Below are 27447 nucleotides of genomic sequence, written 5' to 3'. Positions count from 1 at the left end.
GCTGGTGACTGGACCCTGAGCCTGGAGTCCCCCCCTGTCTAGACTGTGGGTTGTAACCAGAAACCCCTAGCAAAGGGGAAGCTGGAGCCCAGGCCCTTGGGGAGCCCACCAACAGTCACATGAATGCTGGCTGTGCCAAGTTTGGCTCGGCCCTGGCTCTGCCCTGCGACCCCTGGCTCCCTCTCAGTGGTGTTTCCTGGCCTCAGAGGCAGCCCCAAGGTGGCCTGAGGCCGGGAGCAGGCCCTGGCTCCCCTGTCACCTACCCAGTGACCCTGGGCAGGCCCTGGACCCTCGGGCCCAGGCAACCCTCTCCTGCTATGGAGGCCTCCTCACTGCCTGAGGCCTTCAGGGCAAACTGGGGTGGGGCAGCACTGGGCAGAGGCTGTGTGGCAGGCCAGGGTCTCCCAGAAGGTGGTGGCTGGCCGGGTAAGCCCAGCTCAGATGCTGGGGAGACATGGGGGCATGGCACACAGGCCACACTCAGCCTGGGATCAGGCCCCGTCTGAGGACACCGGGTCCAGTTTTCCCTGGGCCAGGCCCTTGGAAAGGAGGAGGGAGTTGGGGAGGGAGAACGGAACCCTGGTTCTCCGACAGGCCCCATCCACCCACGGCCTGTGGGCTCCAGGGAGAGCATGGCCAGGGTGCCCAAGGAGACGAGGAGGAGGCTCCTCATGCTTCATGACCCCTCCTGCTCGTTAGGGTTTATCAACATCATTTAAGATCAGCCTTGTGCTGTGGGTTCCTGGCGTGCTGTGGATAACACTGTGCCCGGGTCAGCCCAGGCATGAGGGGCGGGGACTAGGCTGGAAAGAGGAGGGGCTTGCAGAGGGCTGGGCTTTTCCAGGGGATTAGGGTTCAGAACAGAGGTTTGGGGAGAGAAAGGGTTCAGAGTCAGGCACAGGCAGGCAGACAGGACCCCAAGCAGGACTGGCCTTCCAGACAGGAAAGAGGGTTGCGGAGACACAGGAGGCCAGTTGAGAGTGGCAGAGGAGAAAGGAGTTTCATGGGAGGATGGGGCTTGGAGAGAGATGAGGGAGGGAAAACGGGGGCCGCCATGCATCCTCAGCTTCCGGGGGACTTTGGAGAGGGTCGAGGCTCAGTGGGAGCTGGAGGTTGGTGAAGAGGACCCAGCTCAGGGAACCTGCGTGGTGAAGTGGGGGACTTGGAGGGAGGGAGGGAAGGCTGGAGTTTTCTCCATGGGGAGGAACTCATGGGGACTGTTATGGGGATGGAAGATCAGCTGGCGTCAAGCATACCGTGAGAGTGAGGATGTGGTGGGGTAGCGGAGGCGGCTGAGGCTGGGAGGACAGGCATTGGTCAGGAAAAATGATTCACAGGGAACAAAGTATCCTCAGGGGACCAGGCTCAGAAGGGCTGGTAGGGATCACAGAGAGGCTGTGGGCAGGTGAGTAAACCAGCCTCCAGGGAGACAAGTGTCCTTAGCAGCCAGGACCTCAGCACAGGACCAGAGCTCGGAACGGGACACTTTGCCCTGCGAGCAGATGGAGCATGACCTGGGGTCTGCGCAGGAGAGGCCACATTCTCCCAGACTCTGGGAGTGAACTGGAGTGGGGCCCCGGCTGGGTGAAGTCAGACTCCAGGAAAGGGGGCAGGAGCTCCGATGGGCAGGAGTGGGCTCAGCCAGGAAGGAACAGAGTAGGGGGTGCTGAAACTTACCGGAAGGCCTGGACTTGGTGGGCTAAGGAGGGAAGGGACTGGAGGGTGGTCTTGGGGGCCTTGTGGACTTGGTTAGGGACAGGATGGGGCAGAGACGGGCAGTCAGGTAGGGGGCCTGCTGGGGCTCAGGGGACTGGAGCTTCGTCAGGAGGGGACTGAGCTGCTGGAACTGAGAGTCAACAGGCCAGAAGGGCAGGACCCAGGGGCGGGGGTCCCTGGAGGCAGCAGGGCCCAGGCGCTGGGGTGGAGCGCCATGGGGAGAGTGGGAAGAGGAAGAGGGTCTCTCTTGGGGAGGCAGATGGGGAGGGTTCCGGGAGCGTCCAGTCTTCCACGGGGCTGGGGGCTCCGCGAGAGGGATGGGGCCGGGTGGGGTGGGGAGGAAGACGCAGTGGGTCCGGGGAGATGGAGGTGGCGCGGACACCCTGGTCGGGGGCTGTAGGGGTCCCATCCCTGCGGGACCTTGCAACTCCCCAGGGTCGCGGCTTCCGAGGCCCCCACCCTCCTGGCAGGAGGAGGCGGAGGCGGGGAGGTGGCTGTGCCCGCTGCCGCCGTGAGTCAGGCTCTGGGCTGCAGCCGCGCGGCCGGTCTGGCGCTGCGGAGGGAGCGCAGGCGGCGGGGGAGGCAGCGGCGCCGCCGCCGAGCCCCGCGCGCTCCCCACCCCCTCAAGGTTGGGCCGCTGGGAGGCGGATCAGTGGACAGACAGCGGCCCGCGGGACGGCGGAAGGACGCGCGCACCGAGGCTCAGGGGGTCCGGCCGCGCGCCGAGGAGTCGCTTGTAGGTGAGGAGGCGCCGTCCGGGGGGCTGCGGCAGACCCGGATGGGGCTGGGGGCTGCAGAGCCTCGGCCGCAGACCCCCCGGCGAGCGCCGCACGGGAGCTGGGAACGCGGGGTGGCGCAGAGCGCGAGCGACTTGGTGCCTCGTTGGAGAAGTGTTCATTTCACAGCCTGTTATTGTGCGTCTATGTATGGCCCGGGGGTGCGTGGCTCCGGGCAAGTGTGCGCGCTTGGGGTCCCCAGGTTGGAGGTGGGGGGCGGTGCGCACGAGTTGGAGACCCCGCACCTGTGCCGGTTCTTGGTGCTCGTGGCTGAGCCTGCATCGCCTTGTGTGGGGAGTTGTTTACTCGTCAATGGCTCTGAGCGCGCCCGCGGGTGCGCCCCGGGGTCTGGAGAGCCCGCGGTGCAGCCCGCGGTGGAGCCCGTGGCGGTGCCCGTGGCGGTATCGGGTGTCCGCGGGCGCCGTGGGCAGGTGCTTTGGCCGCTCTGCTAGCTCTGCCGGTTGGCGGCTGAGGCAGCGTCGCTGTGGGTCCGGCGCCCCGTGTGTGCGGGGTTGTTTGGGGTGCTGGGGCACTCTGTGTTTTGCAACAGTGTCAGTCTCAGCGTTGGTGTGCTTCGGGGCGGGGGGTGCTGTTGTGTGTGTCAGTGGGTGAGTGTTTATGCGCAGATGGCGAAGTGATGAAAGCCCCAGGTCCCTGCCAAGGCTGCTGCGAAGGGCTTTGGCATCGTCCGTGGCCGCCGAGGCCCGGGGCGGGTGGGGGAGGCAGGTGGCAGGCTGGCAGCTGGCGGCCCCCGCAGGGATTTCCGTCTCCACTGGGGCTGTTCTCGGAGCTGCTGGGCGTGAGGGTGGGTGCTGGCCGGTAGGCCGGGCCCAGCTTGCTCTCACTTTCTCCTCTCCAGGCCCAGGGCCCCGGCCAGTGCCCAGCCCCGCTGGGAGACCCGGCCAGCACCACGGACGGCGCCCAGGAAGCCCGAGTCCCCCTGGACGGGGCCTTCTGGATTCCGAGGCCCCCGGCAGGTTCGCCCAAGGGCTGCTTCGCTTGCGTGTCCAAGCCCCCTGCCCTGCAGGCTCCGGCGGCCCCTGCCCCTGAGCCCTCGGCCTCTCCCCCGATGGCGCCCACACTGTTCCCCATGGAGTCCAAGAGCAGCAAGACCGACAGCGTGCGGGCTGCCGGCGCGCCCCCTGCCTGCAAGCACCTAGCCGAGAAGAAGACGATGACCAACCCCACGACCGTCATCGAGGTCTACCCGGACACCACCGAGGTGAACGACTATTACCTGTGGTCCATCTTCAACTTCGTCTACCTCAACTTCTGCTGCCTGGGCTTCATCGCCTTGGCCTACTCCCTCAAAGTGAGCCCGGGCGGTGGCAGGGGGCAAGGGCGGGCTAGAGAGGTGGTGCCGGCAGGACAGTCCCTGGCTGTGGGCGCTCGGCCCCTCTCCCTCTCAGGGGAGCACACGGGTAGAACAGGTGCAGTTGAGGGGCCAAGGGATCAAAGGACAGTGAGGGGTCCTGATGGTGGGTCCCAGAGAGGTCGGGGTACTGGCTAGGTCTGGGCGGGCAGGGGTCTGCCCTTCCCTCTCCTGAGCCATCAGGGCCTGGCTTTCTGCTCAGCCAGCTCAGCGGAACCTGCAGGAGGGGCTGGGAGCGGGGGTTGAGGGGGGCGGGGTTGCTCAGGCTCAGGGGACATGGGACGTAGACCTGGGCAGCAGCCACTTCTCCGTGTGCAGGGATGGGGCCAGCGTGGGGCTGAAGAGGGCTTGGAATCCTACCCCTATGGAAAGGAAGAGGGGCCACCTTCTTATCCAGCTCCTCACCCGGAGCCCAAGGGCAGGTGCTTACACAGCTCTGCCAAGCCCTGCGTGGAGACCAGACCTGGGTGGCCAGGGCAGCCCAGGGAAGAGGGGTGTAAACAGGTCCTGCACCTCCCCAGCTCAGGGCTGCGAGAAGAGCTGGCTGGTAGCAGAGCAGGTGCTGGGCAGACATGACCCTGTCCCCCTGAGGGCAAGGTGGAGCAGCAGGGACTGAGATGGTGGGAGGGAGGCTGTGATGGGCTCACAGTGAGAGGGGCAGCCGTGTGTCAATGTGTCTGGTGCTGGAGCCCTTCCTGGGGAAGGGAGCGTGAGGGCGAGGGCAGGCCCCGGTGCCCTCCTCCCCACCCCGACGCACCGGAAGGAAGGGCTTGGCTCACGTTTAGCCTCATCATCACATTTCCCCAGCCCAGACTTGAGTGGCCAAGGCCAGATGTACTCCACCAATGCAGCTGCCCTGCCGGGTGGGGGAGAAGACAGGGGATGCAGGGAGAGAAGAGGCTGGGCAGAGGCTGGCTGGGAGGAAGGACGCCTGGCCAGCTTCGCCTCTGCTCCATCCTTGAGCTCGAGCCCCACCCCGCCCGGCATCGCAACTGCGGTCGGCGTTCCCCTCCTGCTCCTGACTCATCATGATTGCCAACCCCGGCGTTGCCCACTGGCACGGGCACCTTCAACCTCGGGCCTGCGGATCCATCCCTGGGCTCTGACACAGGGGCCTGTGTGTGAGCCAGCACGTGTCAGTGTATGTGTGTACTCACGTGTAATTGCATAAGTGGGCATGTACTGTGAGTGTAACTATGTGTGCATGTGAATGCATTGTGTGCATGAGTGTGTACATATATTTTTGTGTGTGCATGTGTGTGCATGTGTATGACTGTGTGTAGGCAGGAGTGTATTTGCATGTGTGTACATGTGAATGCATATGTGTGCATGTGTGTAATTACGTGGGTGGGCATGGTGTGTGTAAATGTGTGTGCACAAGTGTGTGAGGGCGTGTGTGCATGTGTGGTGTGTGTACCTGTGTGCATGTGTGTGTAATTGCATGTGTGCATGGTGTGTGTAAATGTGTGTGCACAATGTGTGAGGGTATGTGCATGTGCGCTGTATGTACCTGTGTGCACGTGTGTAATCACACGTGAGTGTGCATGGCACATGTAAATGTGTGTGCACAAGTGTGTGGGGTGTGCCTGTGTACTGTCTGTATGTACCTGAGTGTGCACGTGTGTGTAATCACACATGAGTGTGCATGGCACGTATAAATGTGTGTGCACAAGTGTGTGTGGGGTGTGCCTGTGTACTGTCTGTATGTACCTGAGTGTGCACGTGTGTGTAATCACACGTGAGTGTGCATAGCACGTATAAATGTGTGTGCACGGGTGTGTGAGGGTGTGTGCATGTGTGCTGTGTGTATGTACCTGAGTGTGTGCATGTGTGTGTAATCGCACGAGTGTGCATGGCACGTGTAAATGTGTGTACACAAGTGTGTGAGGGTGTGTGCCTGTGTGTTGTCTGTACCTGCATGTGCATGTGTGTAATCACACGTGTGTGGTTCATGTAAATGTGTGTGCACAAGTGTGTGTGAGTGTGTGCATGTGTGATGTATGTACCTGACTGTGCATGCGTGTGTAATCATACGTGAGTGTGCATGGTACGTGTAAATGTGTGTGCACAAGTGTGTGAGAGCATGTGTGTGTGGTGGTGAGTATTCCTGCGTGTGTGTGTGTGTGTAGAAGCAACAAAGGAAAAGGGCCCCTGGAATTGGAGGTCATGCTTCCGACCAGCTCCAGCTGTGGCTCCCCAGACCAATCCTGAGCAGAAAGCTCCAGTGTTGGGGGGCTGAAGCTGCAGCTGGTGGAGCTCTGCCTCCCCTCTCTCTGTGCCCTGCCAACAGCCTGCGGACATGGGTCTGGCTGCCTGGGCTCCCGTCCGGAAGCTGTCCCTCCTCCCGCTTGGCTCAGGCTGTGGCTGGCCGGCTGGCATGGGGCAGGCCCATCTGGCTCGGGTTGTAGGTAGGTCAGGGATTTCTGGATGGTGCCGGGTTTCTGCAGGGGTTGGGGGTGGTGTGAGGTTGACCCTTCTGAGGGTCAGGGACGGCTCATTACACCTCCTCCCAAGCCTGCTCCTCCTGTGTCCTTCCTGCGGTGGGCGGGGGCAGCCAGGGCAGAGAGGCTTTGGGGCATACCTGGGAGTGGGTGCAAGGTGACCTGTCTCCATCCTGGGCAGAAGGGAGGACGGAACTGGCTGGCTGTGGACCCCACGCCTGGGAATGCATCCATCTGGTCACCCAGCTGCAGGTCTCCTGACCTGCACCCTACACCAAGGACGCGGGGTGGCCCTAGGTTCAGAAGGTCTTGGCTAAAATCCGAGCTCTTGGGACAGACAAGCCATCTTGCCTCACTGAGCCCCTGTTCCCTCATCTGTTCACAAAACAAATAGAAACAAAACAACATTCAAGCCAGCACACGTGAGCAGGGCGGAGGCCCGCATGCAGTGGTATGAACTAGACAGTGTGTCCTTGCCTGCCCCCACGTGTCCATCCACCCGTCCAGCCATCCATCCACCCCCCCCACCCACATGGGCCAATTCGGCTCAACGCAGGCTGGATCTGCAGCGCAGAGATTGAAGCCTTATTTTGCACAGCCTGGTGTCCGGGGAAGGCAGAGATACAAAAAGTCAATTCTCCATTCATGCCGCCTCCACACACTGTCTCCTGATGACCACTGGCTCCCGCGGTCAGCTGGATGATGGCCAAACGTCTCATCTCAGCATCCAAGCTGCCTTTTTAACCCTTCTGGCCTCAGCGGTTCCCCGCCCCGGTCACTCGGCAAATGTGATGTGAGCGATGTGCACATCCTCGGCCTGGAGAGCTTTTGTGAGATCTGGGTCTCTCTTCTGCAAAGCCTCCAGAGACAGTCCTGCCCCAGCCACATCTGCTCACCCCAGCCAATCTGTGCCCAAGGCAGAGCTGGCCAACAGATGGGTCAGGACATGTGGGTCTAATGGGTGGGTGGACAGAGGACACATGGTGAGACGGAAGAAGCACCACAGTGTTTCAGAAAAGGAATACTTCATTCCCAGTTTGGGGTGAGGCTGGAAAACTTCTAGAAGGAGGCAGCAATTTCACTGGGCCTTGAAGCTTGGTGAGGGGAAAGGTGTTTCAGGCGGGGAAAATGGCATAAACTAAGACACGTAGGTGGGGCAGTCTAGGGGGTCGGCAAGGCCCCTGTCCTCAATGGGAGATGGAAGACATTCCTGGAAGAGTGCCTGAGGCAGTGCGGTGAACGGGTTTGAAAACCTCGTGAGGGGCTGGGCTCTCATCTGTAGGAGCCATGGAAAGAGAAGGATATGATCAGGGCCATGAAATCTGCAACCAGTGTAGGGGAAGGAGACAAGACAAGCCTCGAGGCAGAAGGTTCAAGTCCCAGTGTGGTGGTCCAGGTGGGAGAGCTTGCGAGCTGGGGATGGGGGTGGGAGAGGAGGAACAGGTGTGGCTAGGACACAGCAGCTGCTAGATGTGAGCCCAGGAGGCTGTGAGACCTTCCAGTGACAGGGCGGTCAGAAAGAACAGGTTAGGTGGGTGGGTTCTGCGTTGGGTTTTGGATGTACACACTCACCCACTCACTCCTTTCTGAATATCAGCATCACACATTTATCTTTCCCATCCTCCATCCATCTATCATTCATCCATCTTCCATCCATCCATTCTCCATCTGTCCATCCATCCATATGCATCCATCCATCCATCCTCCATTCAGCCATCCTCCATCTGTCCTTCATCTATCCATCCACCCTCCATCCATCCGTCTATCCATCTTCCATCCATTCATCCATCCATCCTCCATCTGTCCATCCTCCATCCATCCATCCATCCATCCATCTTCCGTTTGTCCATTCTTCATCTGTCCATCCATCCATCCTCCATCTGTCCATCCATCCATATCCATTCATCTATTCATCCTCCATCCATCCATCTTCCATTTGTCCATTCTTCATCTGTCCATCCATCCATCTTCCATTTGTCCATTCTTCATCTGTCCATCCATCCATCCTCCATCTGTCCATCCATCCATATCCATCCATCTATTCATCCTCCATCCATCTATCCATCCATCCTCCATCCATCCTCCATCCATCCATCCATCCGCCCTCCATCCATCCTTCATCCATCCATCCATCCACCCTCAATCCATCCATCCATTTATCTTTCATCCATCCATATGTCCATCCATCCATCCATCCTCCATCTGTCCATCCTCCATCCATCTATCCATCCATCCTCCATCCATCTATCCATCCTCCATCTGTCCATCCATCCATCCATCATCTGTTCATCCTCCCTCCGTCCATCCACCCAAACTTATATTCAATCCATCCTCCCACATTTCCTTCAACCCCTCCAAATAGCCACCCAACCTTCCATCCACCTGTGTTCACACATGATCATTCAGGCTCCCCTCCCTGCCCTGCTCTCCCATCCTGTCCCCACCAACCTTATGCATCAACCCACTAAACTATTCATCTAGTCTCACTTTCTCAGTAATTGCCCACTTTCCTTCCAAGCCCTACCTGTCAATAGACCCAATCATCCCTCCATCCTGTGACCTCATGTGGCAACACATCTATTCACCCTTCAAGACATCCACCCGCCCTTCCTCCTGCTGCTCCCCTAGCTGAGTCACACTCACCCATTCACTGAGTGCCTCCTTCATACTCAGCGTGCCTCAGCTCACCCCAACTGTCAGCTCAATCCAGCCACTGTCACTTTCTCTATTCCCTCCTTCCTCATCCACCTTGTCTCTAACCGCTCATGCATAAATTTCTCACGTTCTTCTTTTCCCTCTCATTTTTTTCTTTTCCTTTCTTTTGCCCCACTTTTCGGCCATGCATTCTCCCCTTCTATCCCCTTCATTCTTTCTACCATCCGCCTACGTGCTTTACTAATATAGCTAATCATTCAGCTGTAAAATGTCCATTCTCTCTTGTTTCCTCTCAGGCATGTGTCCACCCACCCCACCACTCATCTCGTTGACCATCTGACCTTCCAGGCACATCCATCCCATCTTTCCTTCCTTGGCTTTATTCAGGTATCCCATTCACCTGCCTCCAAGTTGAGTGGCATGAGCCTGTCCAGCCTGCTCTAATGAATTATCATAGATTAGTTGGTTTATAAACACTGGGTATTTACTTCTCACTGTTCCGGAGGCTCGAAGTCTGAGATCAGGGTGCCAGCATAGTCAGGTTCTGATCAGGACCCTCTTCTGGGTTGCAGGCTGTCAACTTCTGTGTCCTCATTTGCCAGTAGGGCCGAGGGCCTCCCTGGGGCCCCTTTTATAAGGGTGCCAATCCCACGCATGACCTAATCCTCTCAAGAGCCCCACCTCCTACCATCACTTTAGGGGTTAGGATTTCCATACAGGAATTTGGGGGACATGAACAGTCAAACCATAACATTGCCCTTTCATCCACTTATATGTCATCCCTTCCTTGTGTTTCCTCTCCCCTGTTCCTCCAGTGACCTGTTCCATCCATCTCTATAGCCAGAGCCAGTTCCTCTCTGTACCCACATCTGCCCACCCCTGCTCTTTTTCCTTCACACATTCACCCATCTGTCATCCATCAATATTCACAGTCATAGAAGAACTGCCTGGCCACCTAGCCCTCAATTCATCATCAGAATGTCCTTCCATTTTCCTTCCTTGCTTGCTTCGATGGACTCACCCAACTCCCAGCCATCAGCCTGTTCTCTCTCCCGCTCTCCTCCTCCCTCTCCTCTACCCACCCAGCACCATCCATCTCCCCTGCCCCCACATGGCTGCCTCATCCTCTATGTCCCACCTCTGCTTGTACTTTTCAGCCCATTCCGCCACCTAGCACCCTGGTGCCCCTTTGCCTTCCCTGCTTCTTGGCCCACTCTTCTCGGGCCCGTTTCCTAATTGCTTTTGACTCCCTAACCTTCTGACACTGCAGGGCTCCAGGGCTCAGCTCTCCATCCTCTCCTTCCTTCATGTTCACTCCCTTGGTGCCCCATCCAGTCCCATGGTTTTAGTATTAGGCCGTTCTTGCACAGCTGTAAAGAAATACCTGAGAGAGAGTAATTTATAAGAAAAGAGGTTTAATTGGCTCATGGTTCGGCAGGCTGTACAGGCAGCATGGTGCTGGTATCTGCTTCTGGGGAAGCCTCAGGAGGCTTCCAGTCATGGTGGAGGGCAAAGTGGGAGCAGGCATCTCACATGGCAAGAGTGGGAGCAAGGGAGAGATAAAGGGGAGGCACCTCACAAGGGAGGGATAAGGGGGAGGCACCTCACACTTTAAAGCAACCAGCTCTCAGGAATTCACTCACTATGGTGAGGACAGCATCAAGCCATGAGATCTACACGCATGAGCCAAACACCTCCCACCAGGCCCTCTCCACCACTGGGGATCGCTGCAACATAGATTTGGCAGGGACATGTGTTCAAACTATATCAGTTTTAAATACCATCTTTTTGCCGATGCTTCTCAAATTTATATCTCTGCCCTAGACCTCATCTCTGAACTCCAGACTCACACAAATTGCTATGCCAAATATCTGCTATATATCTAAAGGGCATTCCTACCTTGACATGTCAGAAATTGAACTGCTAAACGAGTCTTCCTTTTGCAGCCTTCTACAACTCCCTGTTCAGTTGATCAAACCCCAAAAACCTTGAGATCATGTCAAGTTCCATGCTTTTTATCACATTCTACACCTGATCCCAGCAAACACCATCAGCTTCACCTTCCACGCCTGTCCAGGAGCTGGTCAGGTCTCACTACCTTCACCACTGCTGCCCTGGTCCAAGCCACCCTCACCCTCCCCTGGACCATTCAATCCACCTCTCTCTGCCTGTTCAACTATCTGTTCTTTTTTTTTTTTTTTTTTTTTTTTTGAGATGGAGTCTTGCTCTGTTGCCCAGGCTGGAGTGCAGTGGCACAATGTTGGCTCACTGCAACCTACGCCTCCTGAGTTCAAGCGATTCTCCTGCCTCAGCCTCTTGAGTAGCTGGGATTACAGGTACACACTACCACACCTGGATAATTTTTGTATTTTTAGTAGAGACAGGGTTTCACCATGTTGGTCAGGCTGATCTCAAACTTCTGACCTCATGATCTGCCTGCCTTGGCCTCCCAAAGTGCTGGGATTACAGGCGTGAGCCACCATGCCTGGCCCCTGCCATCTGTTCTTACACAGCGGCCAGCACTGCCTCGTTCACATATGTCATATCACGTTCATCTTTCCGGCTCTAAATGACTAAAAAGCACCCACAGAGCCTGCACCGTGCTCCTGGATGGTCTCCTCTGACCGTATGTCCTCCCCTTCTCTCTCTGTGATCTGCTGCCCCTACTCTGCACCTAGTCCTCAGAAGCACCGGGCCCTGCACAGACAGCTCTATGCTCCCAGGACATGCCTCCCTGCAGATGAACACATGGCCGAGTCTGTCACATTCTTCCGATCTTTCCTCAAATACCTCCCACCCCACAAGGTCTTCCCTGGCCACCGAGCTAGACTTGCACCTCCTACAGCACTCTCTGTTCCCCTGAGCCTGGCCACCAAGCTAGACTTGCACCTCCCACAGCACTCTCTGTTCCCCTGAGCCTCTTCAGGTTTCTTTTTAGCACACTGAGCACATTACATATTTGACTTATTTATCGTGTTTATTTTCTGTATCTTCTCCCTACAATGTAAGCTGCGTGAGGACAGAGACTCTGTTTTATTCCTTGTGATATACGCAGGACCTAGAACAGCAACTACTCAGAGCAGACACTAAGTAAATATTGATTGATGATTGATTGATTAAGGAATCTGTCTACCCATCTACCATCCAGTGGTCTACACTACACCAACAACCCTCCTTCCTTTCTCTTATCCACCAATCTTAGCCATCCAAAACACATCATAAATTCATTGATCTACCTGTTCCACCCATTCAGCATATGGATCTGTCCCAGCCATCCAGCATCCGTTACTATATCCAGCCATGGACCTGCTCCAGCCATCCAGCGTGCATTCAGAAACCCATCTGTGCACCTGCCCTTCCAGTCTGGCATCCGTTCCTATATTCCTGTAACCACCTGTCCATTCATTCAAACCACGTGGAGTTCCATTCTTTTTTTTTTTTTTTTTTTTTTTTTTTTGAGACGGAGTCTCACTCTGTCACCCAGGCTGGAGTGCAGTGGCACGATCTCAGCTCACTGCAACCTCTGCCCTCCGAGTTCAAGCGATTCTCCTGCCTCAGCCTCCCAAGTAGCTGGAATTACAGGTGCCTGCCCCTGCTAATTTTTTTGTATTTTTAGTAGAGACGGGGTTTCACCATCTTGGCCAGGCTGGTCTTGAACTCCTGACCTCATGATCCACCCGCCTCGGCCTCCCAAAGTGCTGGGATTACAGGCGTGAGCCACCATGCCTGGCCTCCATTCTTTTTATCACACTGCAAGCCTGATCCCAGCAAACACTGTCAGCTCCACCTTCAACACATGTCCAGAAGTTGGCTCTGTCTCATCACCTTCTCTGCCGCTGCCCTGGTCCAAGCCATCATGGACACATGAGCACACATTCTCGTGTATTCACCTATTTGCCTGTCCTGCCCACCGAACATGCTCTTACATATCCACACATCACCTCCCATCCAGCAGCCGTTCACTTACCCGCTTACCCAGATGCCCCACCCATGTGGCATACACTTGCATATCCATCTGTCCACTTGGACATATATTCATATGTTCGTCTATGCACCTGTTACCCCACCCAGCATATACAGACGGTCCCCATCTTATGACGGTTCGACGTATGCTTTTTCAACTTCACAATGGCAGGAAAGCCATAGGCACCCAGTACACTCCTCAGCTTACCAGGCTTGTGAAAAACACATCATACGAAAATGCGTATGAAACTTTTACCTTATGACACTTTAAACTTATGATGGGTTTGTTGGACTGTAGCCCCATTGTACATCAAGAAGCATTGTATTCATAAATTCAGCTCTCTCCCTGTCCCACTCATCCAACGTACATTTTATATCCGTCCAGCCCTCCTCCCCACCCAGCACAAGTTTCTACATCCATTTCTCTGTCCCATACACCCAGTCTCCATCCGTATAACCCCTCAGCTTCATCCACCCACCTTCCCGATCATTAGATCACTCCCCCACCCTCCTCTTCCCTATCTTCTTTAGCTGTGGCCGCCATTTTCTATGCACCCAATACCCCAGCTGCCTCAGCCTCCTGCCCTCCGCTCCATCCGCTTTTGACACCCAGTGTTTCATCCTCCCTCTGCCACGTTATTCCTCACTCCAAGTATCCAACAAAGAAATCAAGACCAAAAGTTTTTTTAGGAATTCAGAGTTGTCTTGATATAAGAAAATCAATAAATATAATCTACCATATTAATGAATTAGAGAAGGAAACAATAGTTTATCTTGTGGAAATTCTAACGCAATCATAGACCTCTAATGATAAGATGAGCATTATCCTTCCTGGTACCTTGAGGTCAAGAATGAGACTCAGCTGCTTGTCCTCATTGCTGCTGTCTGGAAACGCTCTGGAATCTTCTTTGCCTCCATGAGAGGAGCTTACTTTGGCCCAGGCACTGTGGTGGAGTTTCACATCCATCAATTCATTAAGCCTTTCCCACAACCCTGGGAGGCAGCGCTGTCGTCATCTTCATGTTACAGATGAGGAAATGAGGAGCAGAAGAGTAAGTTGTTAGCTGGCCTAAGGCTGTACAGTCTACGACCCGCAGAATCAGGATTGAAATCCAGTCAGTGTTTCTGCATCTGTGCTTTAACCTCTATGCTGTGCTGTCTAGGAGTAGACTGCAAGGAGGAAATAGAAATACTAGTATTTGCTGTAGATATGATTTATTATTAAGAACACGTGGTCAGTTAGTACAATATGATAGTTTAGCTGGATACAAAATCAGTTAGACATGCAATTTTAAAATATACTTTTACATTATAATAAAAACAATAAATAGACTAAGACTAAGTCTAACAAAAGATGTAATAGCTCTTTCTGGAGAAAGTTATACAACTTTATTTTAGCAAAGGCATCAAATAAGACCTCAATAAGTGGGTGACACATTCAGTCCTTATAAAGGAATACAAATTTCATTGCAGATGTCAGTTTCCTCCAAAACCACTAGCATAAGAACCCGATAAGAGCATAGACTTTCTTCCTGCCTCCTTCCTTACCCTGAATCCTCAATACCTGCTTCTTCCCATCTTCAATCTCTCCATTTTGATAGCACGTTCTGTACAATTTATCTTCCAAGTCACCTACTTGCCCATTTGCCCTTGTTCCCTCCCTTCCCTTCCCTCTCCAACTTTTTTCCAGCTCCACTCCATTGACTCCACTCCATCCATTCCATCCATCCACTCTATCCGTTCCATTCACTCCACTCCATCCACTCTATCCATTCCATTGACTCCACTCCATCCATTCCATCCACTCCACTCCATCCATTCCACCCACTCCACTCCATCCATTCCACCCACTGCACTCCATCCATTCCACCCACTTCACTCCATCCATTCCACCCACTTCACTCCATCCATTCCATCCACTTCACTGCATTCACTCCATCCATTCCATCCACTCCACTCCATCCACTCCACTCTATTTCACTTCACTGCATTTGCTCCACTTCATTCCATTCCATTCCACTCCACTGAATTGCGTTCTAGCTTTCCCTTCCCCACTCCCTCTATCTTCTTTTTTCTCTCCTCTCCCTTTGTTCTTTCCAGTATTCTGCCTCCTCCATCCATCCACCCACAGGCCAATCCATTTATGCTTCCATTCTCCCACTCAATTACACATCCATCACCCTGACCACACATCTATCCTCTGTCCATCCAGTCTTCCGACCTAGGTCTCCTGTCCATCTGCCTAACCTGCACACTGAGGGATCCAGGCATTAGTCAGCCCCAGTATCTATCTGCCCACCTTCCTTCTTTCAGCCCAGCTCCAATCTACTAAGGCAAAGACTTTTTGCCCCTTCCTGTCTTCCTCTCTTTCCATTCTCCTTCCCTTCCTCATCCTAGAACTTGGTTTCTTCTTACAGCAAACACGCACATATTTGTGGATGTGATAGAAGGAAAGAGTGCTGAGGAGGGGAGGGCCCTATAATTCATTCTGAATGAAGGTTGCCTCTTGGAAATGAGTCCAGCTCAGTCCACTGCCTCCCCAAGACTTCCTGAGTGCCAGCCCACTCCTTTCGCCTTAATATTCCTCCCCAAAGGCCCTGTGGACTGCTGTCTCTCCTGCCAATGCACAACGCTCATCCTCAAGGCATCCCAGTTAATTTTAAACGAGGCAGAACCAATCAAATTAGGAGACAGTTGTGTCGCCCCATCCTCCAATTATATCCTCTCTGAGGCCAACTTCTTTTATTTTAATCATTTAAAACTTGCAAAAAGAAAAAACAAGGAATTTCTTTATATCCTTCACCCAGTTGCCCCAATTTTTTAACATTTTACCATATTTGCTTTTCTCTATATATATAAATACATCTCACCTACTTTATAAACCAGTTGAGGGCTGAGAGGTTTCAGACATGACGCCCCCGTGCCCCAAGTTCATCCGTGTACAGTGCCCCAGGGCAGAGACATGTTCCTCTAGAACCATCGTTCATTCGTCAGCTCTCGGAAACAAAGCACTGGTACTGTGCTGAGCACTGTGGCACCGGCTCTGCTGGGCTCCTGGATGCTCCAAGGCCCTGCTCCCTGGCTGACTGCCCATTTCCTGTCCTCCTCCCGGCTTCAGGTGCGAGACAAGAAGCTTCTCAATGACCTGAATGGAGCCGTGGAGGATGCAAAGACGGCCCGGCTGTTCAACATCACCAGTTCTGCCCTGGCAGCCTCCTGCATCATCCTCGTCTTCATCTTCCTGCGGTACCCCCTCACCGACTACTAAGGCCCGCCAGGCACGGCTGCTGGCGGAGACAAGCACTGAGACATGTTTATTCTCATGGTCCCTGAAACGCAGGATCCCATGAGGTTGGGGCAGGGCAGGGCTTCTTGTCCTGGGGCCCCCTTGAGCTGTGAACTGGGCAGCAAGGCCATCAGAAGCTGAGTACAGCAAGGGGGCAGTGAGCTTGGCCCTCAGTCCACCCCCTCCGCCTCCTGGCCTCCACCCTGCCTGTGTCTGGGGCCTGGGGGCTTCTCCCCTCGCTGCTGCACCCTGGCTTCCAGCGTCTGTGTCCCTGCCCTCACGTGCCCCTTCCCAGGCTCCTGGGGCCCCTTGGACCTGACACCTAGCAGGAAGGGCTTATGCAAAATTGTCCCAGGTTGGGAGGACTCACTCTGTGCTCCCCGACCCTGCCTCCTCCACGATGTGACCCCGCTCAGAGCCCTTGTGTCTGTGAACTTTCAATGAAATACCCATGCAGCTCCAGCCCAGCCTTCTACTTTGTGTCCCTGGCAGGGCCTGGAGAAGTCTGGAGGCTTTGCAATCCTCCCTCAGGAACTGCCTGGCGGTCAGGGCCCCGGGTGCTGTGTCCCAACAGACTGCAGGGGACGGTCTGCTCCATCACAGCTGTGCCAGACAGTGAATGGGAAGGGGGGGCATTTGGTGGAGGTACCCCAAACTCGAGTCACTTAGAGGGTCAGGCAGCCTCCTGGGGGGACGGAAGGGGGTGGGGCACAGCCTCAGCTGCCTGCATTGGCCAAATCAGAGCAAAGGAAACCACAAATTCACTCGGAAGGAAGCAGCAGGCAGAGACGATAGACGCCTGGCTAACCCCTGTCCCTCCTGGAGGGCTCTGGGACCTGGACAGGCCCCTTTACCTCTCTCGTGCCCATCTCCTTAGCTGTAAAATAGGAAAATGGCCTTTCACTTCTATAATCACTGTGAAAATGAACGGAAGATGCCTTTCAAAGGCCGAGGCCAGCGCCCTGACGGCCCATGGCATGTGCAGTCCACAATGTGGGAGGCAGGATGCAGGGATGGGCTCTGTCCCCTTGGAACTCAGGCACAGTCATGGGGGTGCCGGTCAGCCCTGAAGACAAGCTGATGAGGGTGCACTAGGAAAAGTGCAGGGCATCGGCGAGGCACACGAAGGAGGTGGGGAGGTGAAGATGGAGAAGAAGCCGAGGCAGTGGCCATGGGTGTGGAGCTTCGCGCTGTGGGTGCCCAGCTGGTCTGGGAAACCGCAGGAAATCCCGCAGCTCAGGTGCGCAGTGGGAAGGACTTGCTATTCCGTGGGAAGGCAGGCAAACCTTCCCAGGGAAGGGGCATGGCCGTGCGCCTCATGTTTTGGGAAGCTCGTGCCCTCTGGGGTAGCGAGGCCAGCTTGGAGGGGAGTCCAGTGGACAGAGGTGGATGCAAGTGGAGGGAGCTGAGCCTGGGCTGGGGCTGGCAGCAGAGGGCTGGACAGCAGGGCGCCTGCGTGGCAGCTGTGCAGTCAGTGGGGTTGACTGGTTTGGAAGGTAAGGTGGGGGAGAAGCCCGGAGGATTCCTGTCCCTTGACTTGGACAGCCCAGTGGAGAGGGCTGTGTACCAAGGGCAGGAAACCAGGGAGAAGAAGATGTTGACTTTAAGATACCAAGCAGAGAAGGGAAGAGCCTTCTGGGCTGGAGACGTGGGGTGCCTCAGAAGGGAGGACCTTGAGCTAGCAGCAGATGGGACAAACGCAGGGGACAGGGCACAGCCGTGGCAGGAGTGCAGCGAGCAAGATTCTGGTCACAGTCCTGACCCAGAAACCTGCAGAGGAAGGGAGGGTGGCCAGCACCTGCCCGTGGGCCTGGGGTGCAGCCCAGGCAGAGGTGGATGGAGGGGGTGCTCAGGGAAGAGGGGAGGGGAGTGTGTGACCTCAAAATGGGAGGGCTTGGGGGTCAGAGTCGAGAGAGGGGACAGGGTGGGGACCATGTGGGACTCTTGAGCACTGACCCTTGAACCCAGGCAGTGGTGGGATGGGAGGGCAGGAGGCGGCGGGCTGCGAGGCTGATGCGGGGCTGCACGGAGCTGTCATTGAGCCTCTTGGAGGATGGTGGGAGAAGTGCCAGGGGCGGCTGAAAGCCTTGCCGAGACTGTGGGCAGCCTGGTTGTGGGCACTTCGGATGCTTGCACCATTAGACCCAGAGGCTTCCTGGACAAGCCTGGGCTGGAAGAGGATGGCAGAGGCTGCTGGGCCTTGGAAGAGAGAGGGTCCTGGCTTCTAGTTCCTGGGGCAGCTAAGGCCAACCCCAGTGTCCAGGTGTCTTCCATGTTATGCCTGGGAGGGAAGAAAGTAGAGGGGCAAATGCTTTCTTTGCCTATTTTCCTTAAACATTTGGTGGCAGTGCTGGTGGCTGCCTGGGACAGGGGCCAGGAGGAAACACCCCTGCATTAGGGAAGCCCTCAGCCAGCTTTTCCCTGGGATGTTCCTGCGCCTGGCTGAAGCTTTCTGAGTTCATGTTGGGGAAATGGAACGGTCACCTTCCAGCCAGTAAAGGCACCCCTAGCTCTTGGGATGTTTGTATCCAACTCCGGGCAATGTGGGGCTACAAAGGCCCCTGGCTTCCATACCCTGGGGACCGGGGGAGGGCTGGTGCTCCCGCGGTGGGTGTCCACGGTGAGGTCAGGCCCCCACAGCAGGTGCATTCTCGCCCTCAGCAGGCAGGCAAGCAGGCATCAGCTCCGGCGCTGGTCTCTGGCTTCGAAGTCTGTGTCTTTGCCTGTCTGTACTCATGCCTGACCTGCTGGCGCTCCCTGTCCACTGCACTCCTCCCACCTCATTTTTATGTGATTTTGCACAGTGCCTGGCAGACATTTGACATTCAATAAACATTGTACGAACGAAAGAATCAATCCCCCTCTCACTCTCTCTGTCCTTCTCCCTGTGTGCCTCCATATATTTGTGCATCTTTGGGGAGTCAGGTGACTTTCCCTACCCTCCCCTCTCCCCATGCTGCCCTGGTCACTGCCCTTGGGACCCCAGCCCAACAGGCCAGTTTAAAAGGATTGGGGCTTGGCTCAGTGGCTCATGCTTATAATCCCAGTGCTTTGGGAGACTGAGGCAGGAGGATTGCTTGTGCCCAGGAGCTCAAGGCTGCAGTGAGCCGTGATTGCACCACTGCACTCCAGCCTGGGTGACAGAGTGAGACCCTGTCTCAATAAATAAATAAATAAAGGATCAAGACTGAGGGGACTGTAAAGGCTGAGCCTCACTGTGCATCTGTGTGTGTGTGTGTGTGTGTGTGAGACTGTGTGCATATGTGTTCGTGTGTGTGTGTAGTGTGTGTGCCTGTGTGCTTTTGTCTGTGTATGTGGTGCATGTGTGTGTGACTGCTTCTGTGTGACTGTGTGCATGTATGTGTTGTGTGTGACTGCATGTGTGTGTGACTCTATGCATGCATGTATTATGTGCACATGTGTTTGAATGTATGTAACTGTGTGTGTGTTTGCATGTGTGTGACTGCACGTGATATTCACGTTATGTGTGCATGTGTGTGTGCCTGTGTGCATGTGTGTGTGTTGTGTGTACAAGGGTGTGCATGTATGACTGTGTGCATGTGTGTAAATGTGCTTTGTGTGAGTGTGTGTGACTGCATGCATGTGGATGTGTTGTGTATACATGTGTATGCATGCATGTGGATGTGTTGTGTGTACATGTGTATGCATGCATGTGGATGTGTTGTATGTGCATGTTTGTGACTGTGTGCATGTGTGTGACTATGTATGTGTGTGTGTGTTGTGTGTACGTGTGTGGCCGTGCATAAGTGTATATGTGCTGTGTGTGGCTGTGTGCATGTGTGTGTGACTGTGTGCATGTGTGTATTATGTATATGTGCATGTGTGTGACTGCACATGTGTGTGTTGTGTGTACATGTGTGCATGTATGTGACTGTTCATGTGTGTATTGTGTATATGTGCTGTGTGTGGCTGTGTGCATGTGTAAGATGTGTGTGCGTGTGTATTGTGTATATGTGCTGCGTGTGGCTGTGTGCATGTGTGTGTTGTGTATGTCTGCATGTGTGTATTGTGTGTGTGTGCTGTGTGTGGCTGTGTGCATGTGTGTATTGTGTATGTGTGCTGTGTGTGGCTGTGTGCATGTGTAAGATGTGTGTGCATGTGTGTATTGTGTATATGCTGTGTGTGGCTGTGTGCATGTGTGTGTGACTGTGTGCATGTGTGTATTATGTATATGTGCATGTGTGTGTCTTCACATGTGTGTGTTTTGTGTACATGTGTGCATGTATGTGACTGTGCATGTGTGTATTGTGTATATGTGCTGCGTGTGGCTGTGTGCATGTGTGTGTTGTGTATGTCTGCATGTGTGTATTGTGTGTGTGTGCATGTGTAAGATGTGTGTGCATTGGGGAGGAGGTGCTATAGGGTCATCCCCCAGCCTCCCTTCCCCTGACCACAGTGGTCCAGAGCTCTCCAGGCTCCCCTGCCCTTGCCAAGCCACTGCCCATTCCTGCAGGTGGTGGAGCTTGATGCCTCTTCTCCAGACACTGGAAATCCGCATAACATTCTTTCCTAATTGCATGTGCTCAGCTGTCCCACGGGGGCTTTAGAGACCAGCAATATACGCTCCCTGGGGTCCTCCTCCCATAGCATGCAGCTGACTAGCTCAGATGGATGGGGGCACAAGGGGCCAGGGAAGTCTCTGACCCCACAAAACCACAGGGCCCACTGAACCTCAGGATGAGAGGAACTGTCCTTGACAGGGACTGGGCGGAGAGGGGAACTGTTCTGAGACAGAAAAGGGACAGGAATCTCCTCCCCACCCCGACTTCACATCCACCTGCTGAGCTGGAGGCTTTGCAGGGGTGGTCGGGGCCGCTCGCAGCCAGGACGGGAGATGTGCTCTTGGGAGACTGGCCAGAGAGGCTGTGATGGTGGAAGAAGCAGAAGTAGTCACTGGAAACAGCATCTGAAAATGGCCCACAGCTGATAAGCTCCATCAACCCACCAATTTGAGACCAGTGAAGCCCACACGATAGAACAGTAAATCCCCGGCTGAGTACATCACAGTGGAACTGCACAGCACCAGAGACACAGAGGAAAATGCCTTAAAAGCAGCCAGAGAAAACCGATTATTTTCAAAGCAGCAACGATGACTTTTAGCCAAAATTAATGGGCTGTTCATGACCTATGGGAAAGAAAGGATTTCTTTAAACAAAAACTTCTTAAATGTGAAATATAACGCACAGAATAGTGCCCAAAGTCAATTAAAAGTAAAATTTTTGAAAATGTACAGCTTGATGAATCTTCACAAAGCAATCACCCATCAATTTAACCATACAATATCAAGAAAGAGCACTTTGTCCAGACCCCTGGAAGCCCCCGGGGGCTCCTTCTGACCACCCCTTCGTTCCCAGCTGGGACCCACCACCCTGACTGATCAACACCCAGCAATCAATTCCAAGTCCTTGTGTACATTTTTACGACCTAAGAGTGCATCCCTCAGCGCCGTCATCTGTTAAACAGGCTCCTGACTTTTGGAACTTTTTATGAATGGAACCGGGCCATGCACTCTTTTGTGCTTGGTGTTTTGCGCTGAGTCACCCCCGGCGATTCACTGGGGTGCCTATGAATTTTCATTGCAGACTGACATCCATTGCATCATGTACCACAGCGTACATATCCATTTTACCACCGACAAACGCTTGGGCGGTTTCCGTCTTGGCATTTAGGGGTACCACTGCTGCAAGCATCCTTGTGTGTGCTGCTCGGGGCCCCCAGAACCCATGTCTCTCGGGCAGATCCTTAGTAGTGGGATTGCCGAATTATGAAGTCTGCTGATCCTCCACCTCAGCAGGCGACGCCCGCCCTCCAAGATGGCTGCGCCTCCCCCAGCAGTGTGTGTTCCCACCGTTTCATTTCCTCCCCAGTGCACCTGCTGTCAGTCTTTTTTTTTTTTTTTTTTTTTTAATTTTTGCCACTCAGGGGAACATGTGGTAGTATCTCGTGGTGGGTTTGGTTTGTGTTTCCCAGATGGGTGAGGAAGTCGAGCGTCTTTTCTGCGCACAGACTGGCCATTTGGTTTTCCTGTTTGTGAAATGACTATTTCAGTGTCTTGACCATTTCTTTCCTACCAGGCTGTCAGTTTCTCCGTGATTCTAGGGGTTCTCTCAGGACAGCGTGTCCACGTCCTCTGATGGTTCTACGCAGTGCAGATAATTTCTTCCGCTCGGAGGCTTTCCTCTTCGCTCTCCTAGTGGCATCTTTTTATAGACAGAAGTTTCCAATTTTAATATAGTCACAATTACCAACATCTTCCATTTGGTTACTGCTTTTCTCGGCAAGACACAAATAGAGTGATCATAATGAAAAACGTTGATGCATTTGACAAATCTGAGCACAGGTGGGGCAACTTCTGGGTTGCTGGGAAGGTTCCGTTTTCTGATGCTGGTGGTGGTTGCATGACTATTTGCTTTATAAAAGTCATTAAGTTGTACATTTATGCTTGATGTAGTTTTCTGTATAATATTTATGTCTTTTATATATTGCAGTGTTATGTATAAATGCCATCAATGGGAAATAACTCAAATGTCTACTGACATATTTTCATATGCATATGAAAATAAAATAAATAACTATGAACATCTTTGGGTTCAAGTAATATCTCTGAGAGAAATTAGCCTTATATTTATTCATAAGTAATTCCAATGCATAGAAAGAATATCTCCAGAAGAAAAGTGGCTCTGGGAATGGAAAGTGAGCAGTGGTGATTAGTAATTTTTATTGTGAACTAAGCTGCACAGAGAGGAGAATGTGGGGGCATCCCTGTGGGGAAGGCACTCGAGGAGGGGGGCAGGAGGCTGGGCACGGAGAGGAGGGGCTGCAAGGAGGGGGCCAGAGCCATGCCTGATGAGAAGGGCATCTGCGGGGAGATGGGCAGTGGCAATGGGAGGGAGGTGATTACACCCAGGGGGTCGGTAGAAGAAGTAAAGATATTGAAGTAAATGGGAGTCTGCTTTCTCACTGTGGGCAAAGAGAGTGACAAATATTGAAAGGGATGAAACTAGAACGCAGCCTGTGGTGTTGGATTGGAGTTGGAGGAATCCATTTATTCTCCAGCTCCTTCCTCTAAGAGGCTCTGAAAGCAGCAACCCCCCAGTGGCAGACCCTGGCCCCTAAATACCACTCACCACCGACAGGACCCGGGGCTCCCTGGGGAAGCAGCTGATTCCAGGCTGAGACAGGTCAGGGGCAGGATGAGCCAGGGCGAGGACATGCAGAAAACACGCAGGAGTCGCTTCCCACCGGCCACGCCAGAGACAACTTGAGCATCAAAGCCAATAATGTTAGTCAAGATTACAGTTTATTGCATAAAATAGGAACCCGAGTTTAATACACTGATGTTAATACATCAATAAACTGGTAGTTGAACAACCACAGTGATCTTTAGTTCCAAAGAAATTTCCTAAAGAGTCATCGCAATCACAAAGAAACTTTATGACTTTATGCCTTCAGAGGTAACTTTACAGGTGGGGAAGCCCAGCAGGCATCACCTTGATCAAATGATCAAAGTGAATGTCATCAACAACCAGATAAATTGAAACTGTTCACCACCTGATGGGATGCACTGATAAGAACGGAGTCGTTTCTGTGATATTTCTGCCGGTTAAGGACTGAATGTTTGTGTCACCTCCACTGTGATGGTATTGACGGCAGGGCCTCTGGGAGCTGATCAGGGTTAGATGAGGTCGTGAGGATGGGACCCCCATGATGAGGTTAGTGTCCTTATGAGAAAAGACACCAGAGGGCTTGTTCTCTCTCTCCCACAGCCTGTGAAGACACAGTGACAAGGCGGCCGTTTGCAAGCCAGGAAGAGAGCCCTCACTAGGACCCAAATCTGCCAGCACCTTGATCTTGGTCTTGTACTTCCAGCCTCCAGAAATGAGAAAGAATAATTTTTTTTGTTTCAGCCACCCAGTCATATTAGCTGTGGCAGCCTGAGGTGACTAATATCCTGCCAAAAACGCACAGCCAAACACCAGGCAGACCCAAACTGAGGGATCGTGAGAATAGATCTGGCCTATAATCAGAAGTGTCGAGGTCATGAACGTCAAGGAAAGATTGAGGAACCATTCCAGACAAATGTAATTAGGCACACTCTCACTCTGCAGTTTGTCTTTTCACTGTCTTAATGTTATATTCTGATAACTAAGTTATTTTTTATTAAATTCCATTTATAATTTTTATCTTGTATGACTGATGTTTTTCATGTCCTGTTAATTTTTAATTTCTTTTTTCTTTATTTTTTTTTTACTCACTTCAGGGTCATGAAGCTTTTCTCTTAATAGCTTTATTGTTCTGCCTTTTGGATCTAGGTCTGTGCTCCACCTTGGATGAATTTTTGTGTATGATGTGAGGTGGGAGGTCGGGGGAGCTGAGGACACTGTAGGTCCTCCACCCAGGTCTGCTTGGGTCATACCACTGTTCCTCTGTGCCCCACCCCCAGCCTCAGTGTGCATCTGTCTCCAAGAGTCCACGACTGAGATGGTACTTGGGAAGACCCTGTATCTGGACTTCATATCCCTTTCACAGTCTTTAGTCACTGCTGTTTCCGGCTGGAGCCCCAAAGCCAAGCTCCCCTGTCTGCATCAAGATAAACTTATGATCTATGATCAAGAGTTGCCATTGATTAGGCAGAAGCTGGGCCTGCACAGAAACCCCCACTCTCCTGAAATCTTACTTCCCTTCCCCCATTTTCCTAGGAGCATGTCCCCAGTAAATTACAGACATGGAGATCTTCTCACTTCTGGTTCTGCTGCCGGAGAACCTGAACCAACTCCGGGGCAATGTTAGTATTTTTATTCTTCCCATAGAGACGTCCCAGTGCTGCCATGTCCCTCATGGAGAAGACCATCTTTCCCCCACTAAGTTGCAGGGGCCCTCAGTGGTTTGTTGGGTGGCCGTAGAGACGTGGTGCATGTGTTTCTGGACTTCAGTCTGTCCCACTGGTCTATTTATCTGACTTTACAGCAGCATCAGACTGTCTCCATTCCTGTGGGAATACTATCTGTATTAAGTCTTCATAACTGGTAATGTTTTTCAAGGAATTTTTCCATTTCATTGAAGCTGCCAGATGTATTGACATAAAGTTGTTCATAGTATATTTTTATTCCATTTTGGATGTCTGTACCCACATTTTCATTTCTGATCATCCTATTTCATACTCTTGACAACTTTTGATTCTCTTTATTCTTGGTCAGTCTTGTAGATAATTATCAATATACTTATTTAAAAAAGAAAAGTTTGCCTGTGGGTCTTTCCATTGTGTGTCTGCTTTTCATTTCATTAATTTTTGTTCCTAACTTTATTATTCCCTTTCTTGTAATTTCTTTGGGTTTAAATTGCTGTTTTTCCCTCCAGCCTCTTTGGTGAATAATTCTTTTTAACTTTCTTTTTTCATAATATAATGAATTAATTTAAATCCATAAATATCCTACAAGTTTTGATATTATATATGTTTTATTATCATTTGTTTCAATATAGTTTCTGAGTTCTATCCTGATTTCTTTTTTGAATCCTTGATTACATAGACACTTGGTTAATTTGCAGACATTCAGATTTTTTTTTTTCTGAGACGGAGCCTCGCTCTGTCACCCAGGCTGGAGTGCAGTGGCACCACCATCTCGGCTCACTGCAAGCTCCGCCTCCCGGGTTCACACCATTCTCCTGCCTCAGCCTCCCGAGTAGCTGGGACTACAGGCGCCTGTCACCTCGCCCGGCTAATTGTTTTGTATTTTTAGTAGAGACGGGGTTTCACCGTGTTAGCCAGGATGGTCTCGATCTCCTGATCTCGTGATCTGCCCACCTCGGCCTCCCAAAGTGCTGGGATTACAGACGTGAGCCACCGTGCCCGGCAGACATTCAGATTTTTATAGTGATTATTATTGTTTTTTTCTTTGAGACAGAGTTTCGCTCTACACTCGCCCCCACTGGAGTGCAGTGGCGCAATCTCAGCTCACTGCGACTTCCGCCTTCCAGGTTCAAGCGATTCTCCTGCCTCAGCGTCCCGAGTAGGTAGGACTACAGGCACCCACCACTACGCCCAGCTAATTTTTTGCATTTTTAGTAGAGACCATGTTGGCCAGGCTGGTCTCAAACTCCTGGCCTCAGGTCATCTGCCCGCCTCGGCCTCCCAAAGTGCTGGGATTAAAGGCGTGAGCCACCACGCCCGGCCTGTAGTTATCCTTCTGTTCTCAGTATCTGGCTTTATTTTTACTATTGTCAGGGAACATTCCCTAGATCATTTCAATACTTTAACAATGCATGAGGCTTCTTTTTGAAGCAGATTTTGGTCTGTTCCTGTAACTGTGTCTATGTGCACTTGAAAAGATGTTTATTTTCCAGTTATTGGCTGTAAATTTTAATTATTTCCAGTGGTTAATTATGTTGTTGAAATCTTCTCCTGCCTTACTGATTTCATTTTCAGTCTAATTGTCCTATCAGTTGCTGAGAGACGTGCATTACGGCCTCCAACTCTGATTGTAGATTTGTCTATGTCTCCTTGCCACTGTCAAGCTTTGCTTTTGCGTATTTTAAGCAACGCTATCAGATGAATGGAAGTTTAGAATTGTCGTGTCTTTTTGATTGATCTTTTTGAAATTATCAAGTGATTCATTTTATTGGTAGCAATATTTCTTTTATTAAGTCTACTTCCTTTCTGATGTTTATTTAACTACCTCTGCTTTCTTTTGGGTAATGTTTGTAAGCTATATCATATTTCGATTCCAATCTGTGCATATCCTTTAATTATATCTTTTATAAAAAACTATTTATGTATTTATTTAGATGGAATCTTGCTCTGTCACCCAGGCTGGAGTGCAGTGGTGCCATCTCGGCTCACTGCAACCTCCGCCTCTCAGGTTCAAGCGATTCCCCTGCCTCAGCCTCCCGAGTAGCTGGGATCACAGGCGTGTGCCACCACGCCCAGCTAGTTTTTGTATTTCTAGTAGAGATGGGGTTTAGCCATGTTGGCCAGGCTGTATTTATTTATTTTTGAGACTGGGTCTTGCTCTGTCACCCAGGCTGGAGTGCAGTGGCACAATCATGGCTCACTGTAGCCTCGACTTCCCGAGCTTCAGCGATCCTCCCACCTCAGCCTCCTGAGTAGCTGGGAACACAGGCACATGCCACCAAGCCTGGCTAATTTTTTTTTTTTTTTTTTTGGGGTACAGATGGGGTCTTGCAATGTCGCCTAGGCTGGTCTCGAACTTCTGAGCTTCA

General features: G+C 52.6%; 1 protein-coding gene across 1 annotated transcript, besides 3 other annotated features; it reads left to right on the top strand.

The window, feature by feature from the left end:
* On the top strand, nt 876-19065 carry IFITM10 (interferon induced transmembrane protein 10). The gene is made up of 3 exons (NM_001170820.4): nt 876-1112; nt 3352-3804; nt 16042-19065. The coding sequence occupies exons 1-3, from the start codon at nt 1029-1031 to the stop codon at nt 16189-16191; spliced, it is 687 nt and encodes a 228-aa protein (NP_001164291.2). The 5' UTR covers nt 876-1028; the 3' UTR covers nt 16192-19065.
* Nucleotides 1065-1820: an enhancer, noted in NCBI's record as "H3K4me1 hESC enhancer chr11:1770881-1771636 (GRCh37/hg19 assembly coordinates)". NCBI's record gives its function as "activates a minimal SCP1, AML or CMV promoter by ChIP-STARR-seq in primed H9 embryonic stem cells {active_cell/tissue: H9 hESC(primed)}" and the evidence as "EXISTENCE:reporter gene assay evidence [ECO:0000049][PMID:30033119]".
* Nucleotides 1821-2576: an enhancer, noted in NCBI's record as "H3K4me1 hESC enhancer chr11:1770125-1770880 (GRCh37/hg19 assembly coordinates)". NCBI's record gives its function as "activates a minimal SCP1, AML or CMV promoter by ChIP-STARR-seq in primed H9 embryonic stem cells {active_cell/tissue: H9 hESC(primed)}" and the evidence as "EXISTENCE:reporter gene assay evidence [ECO:0000049][PMID:30033119]".
* Nucleotides 7512-7870: an enhancer, noted in NCBI's record as "Amplicon_38_11:1721407-1721765 (NCBI36/hg18 genome assembly) insert fragment". NCBI's record gives its function as "drives selective reporter gene expression in differentiated C2C12 myotubes {active_cell/tissue: C2C12}" and the evidence as "EXISTENCE:reporter gene assay evidence [ECO:0000049][PMID:22144875]".
* Nucleotides 19066-27447: the final 8382 nt, after the last annotated feature.

The sequence above is a fragment of the Homo sapiens genome, chromosome 11 (genome assembly GCF_000001405.40).
Source record: "Homo sapiens chromosome 11, GRCh38.p14 Primary Assembly".
Taxonomy (NCBI): domain Eukaryota; kingdom Metazoa; phylum Chordata; class Mammalia; order Primates; family Hominidae; genus Homo; species Homo sapiens.
This window is presented reverse-complemented; position numbering and strand designations above follow the sequence as displayed.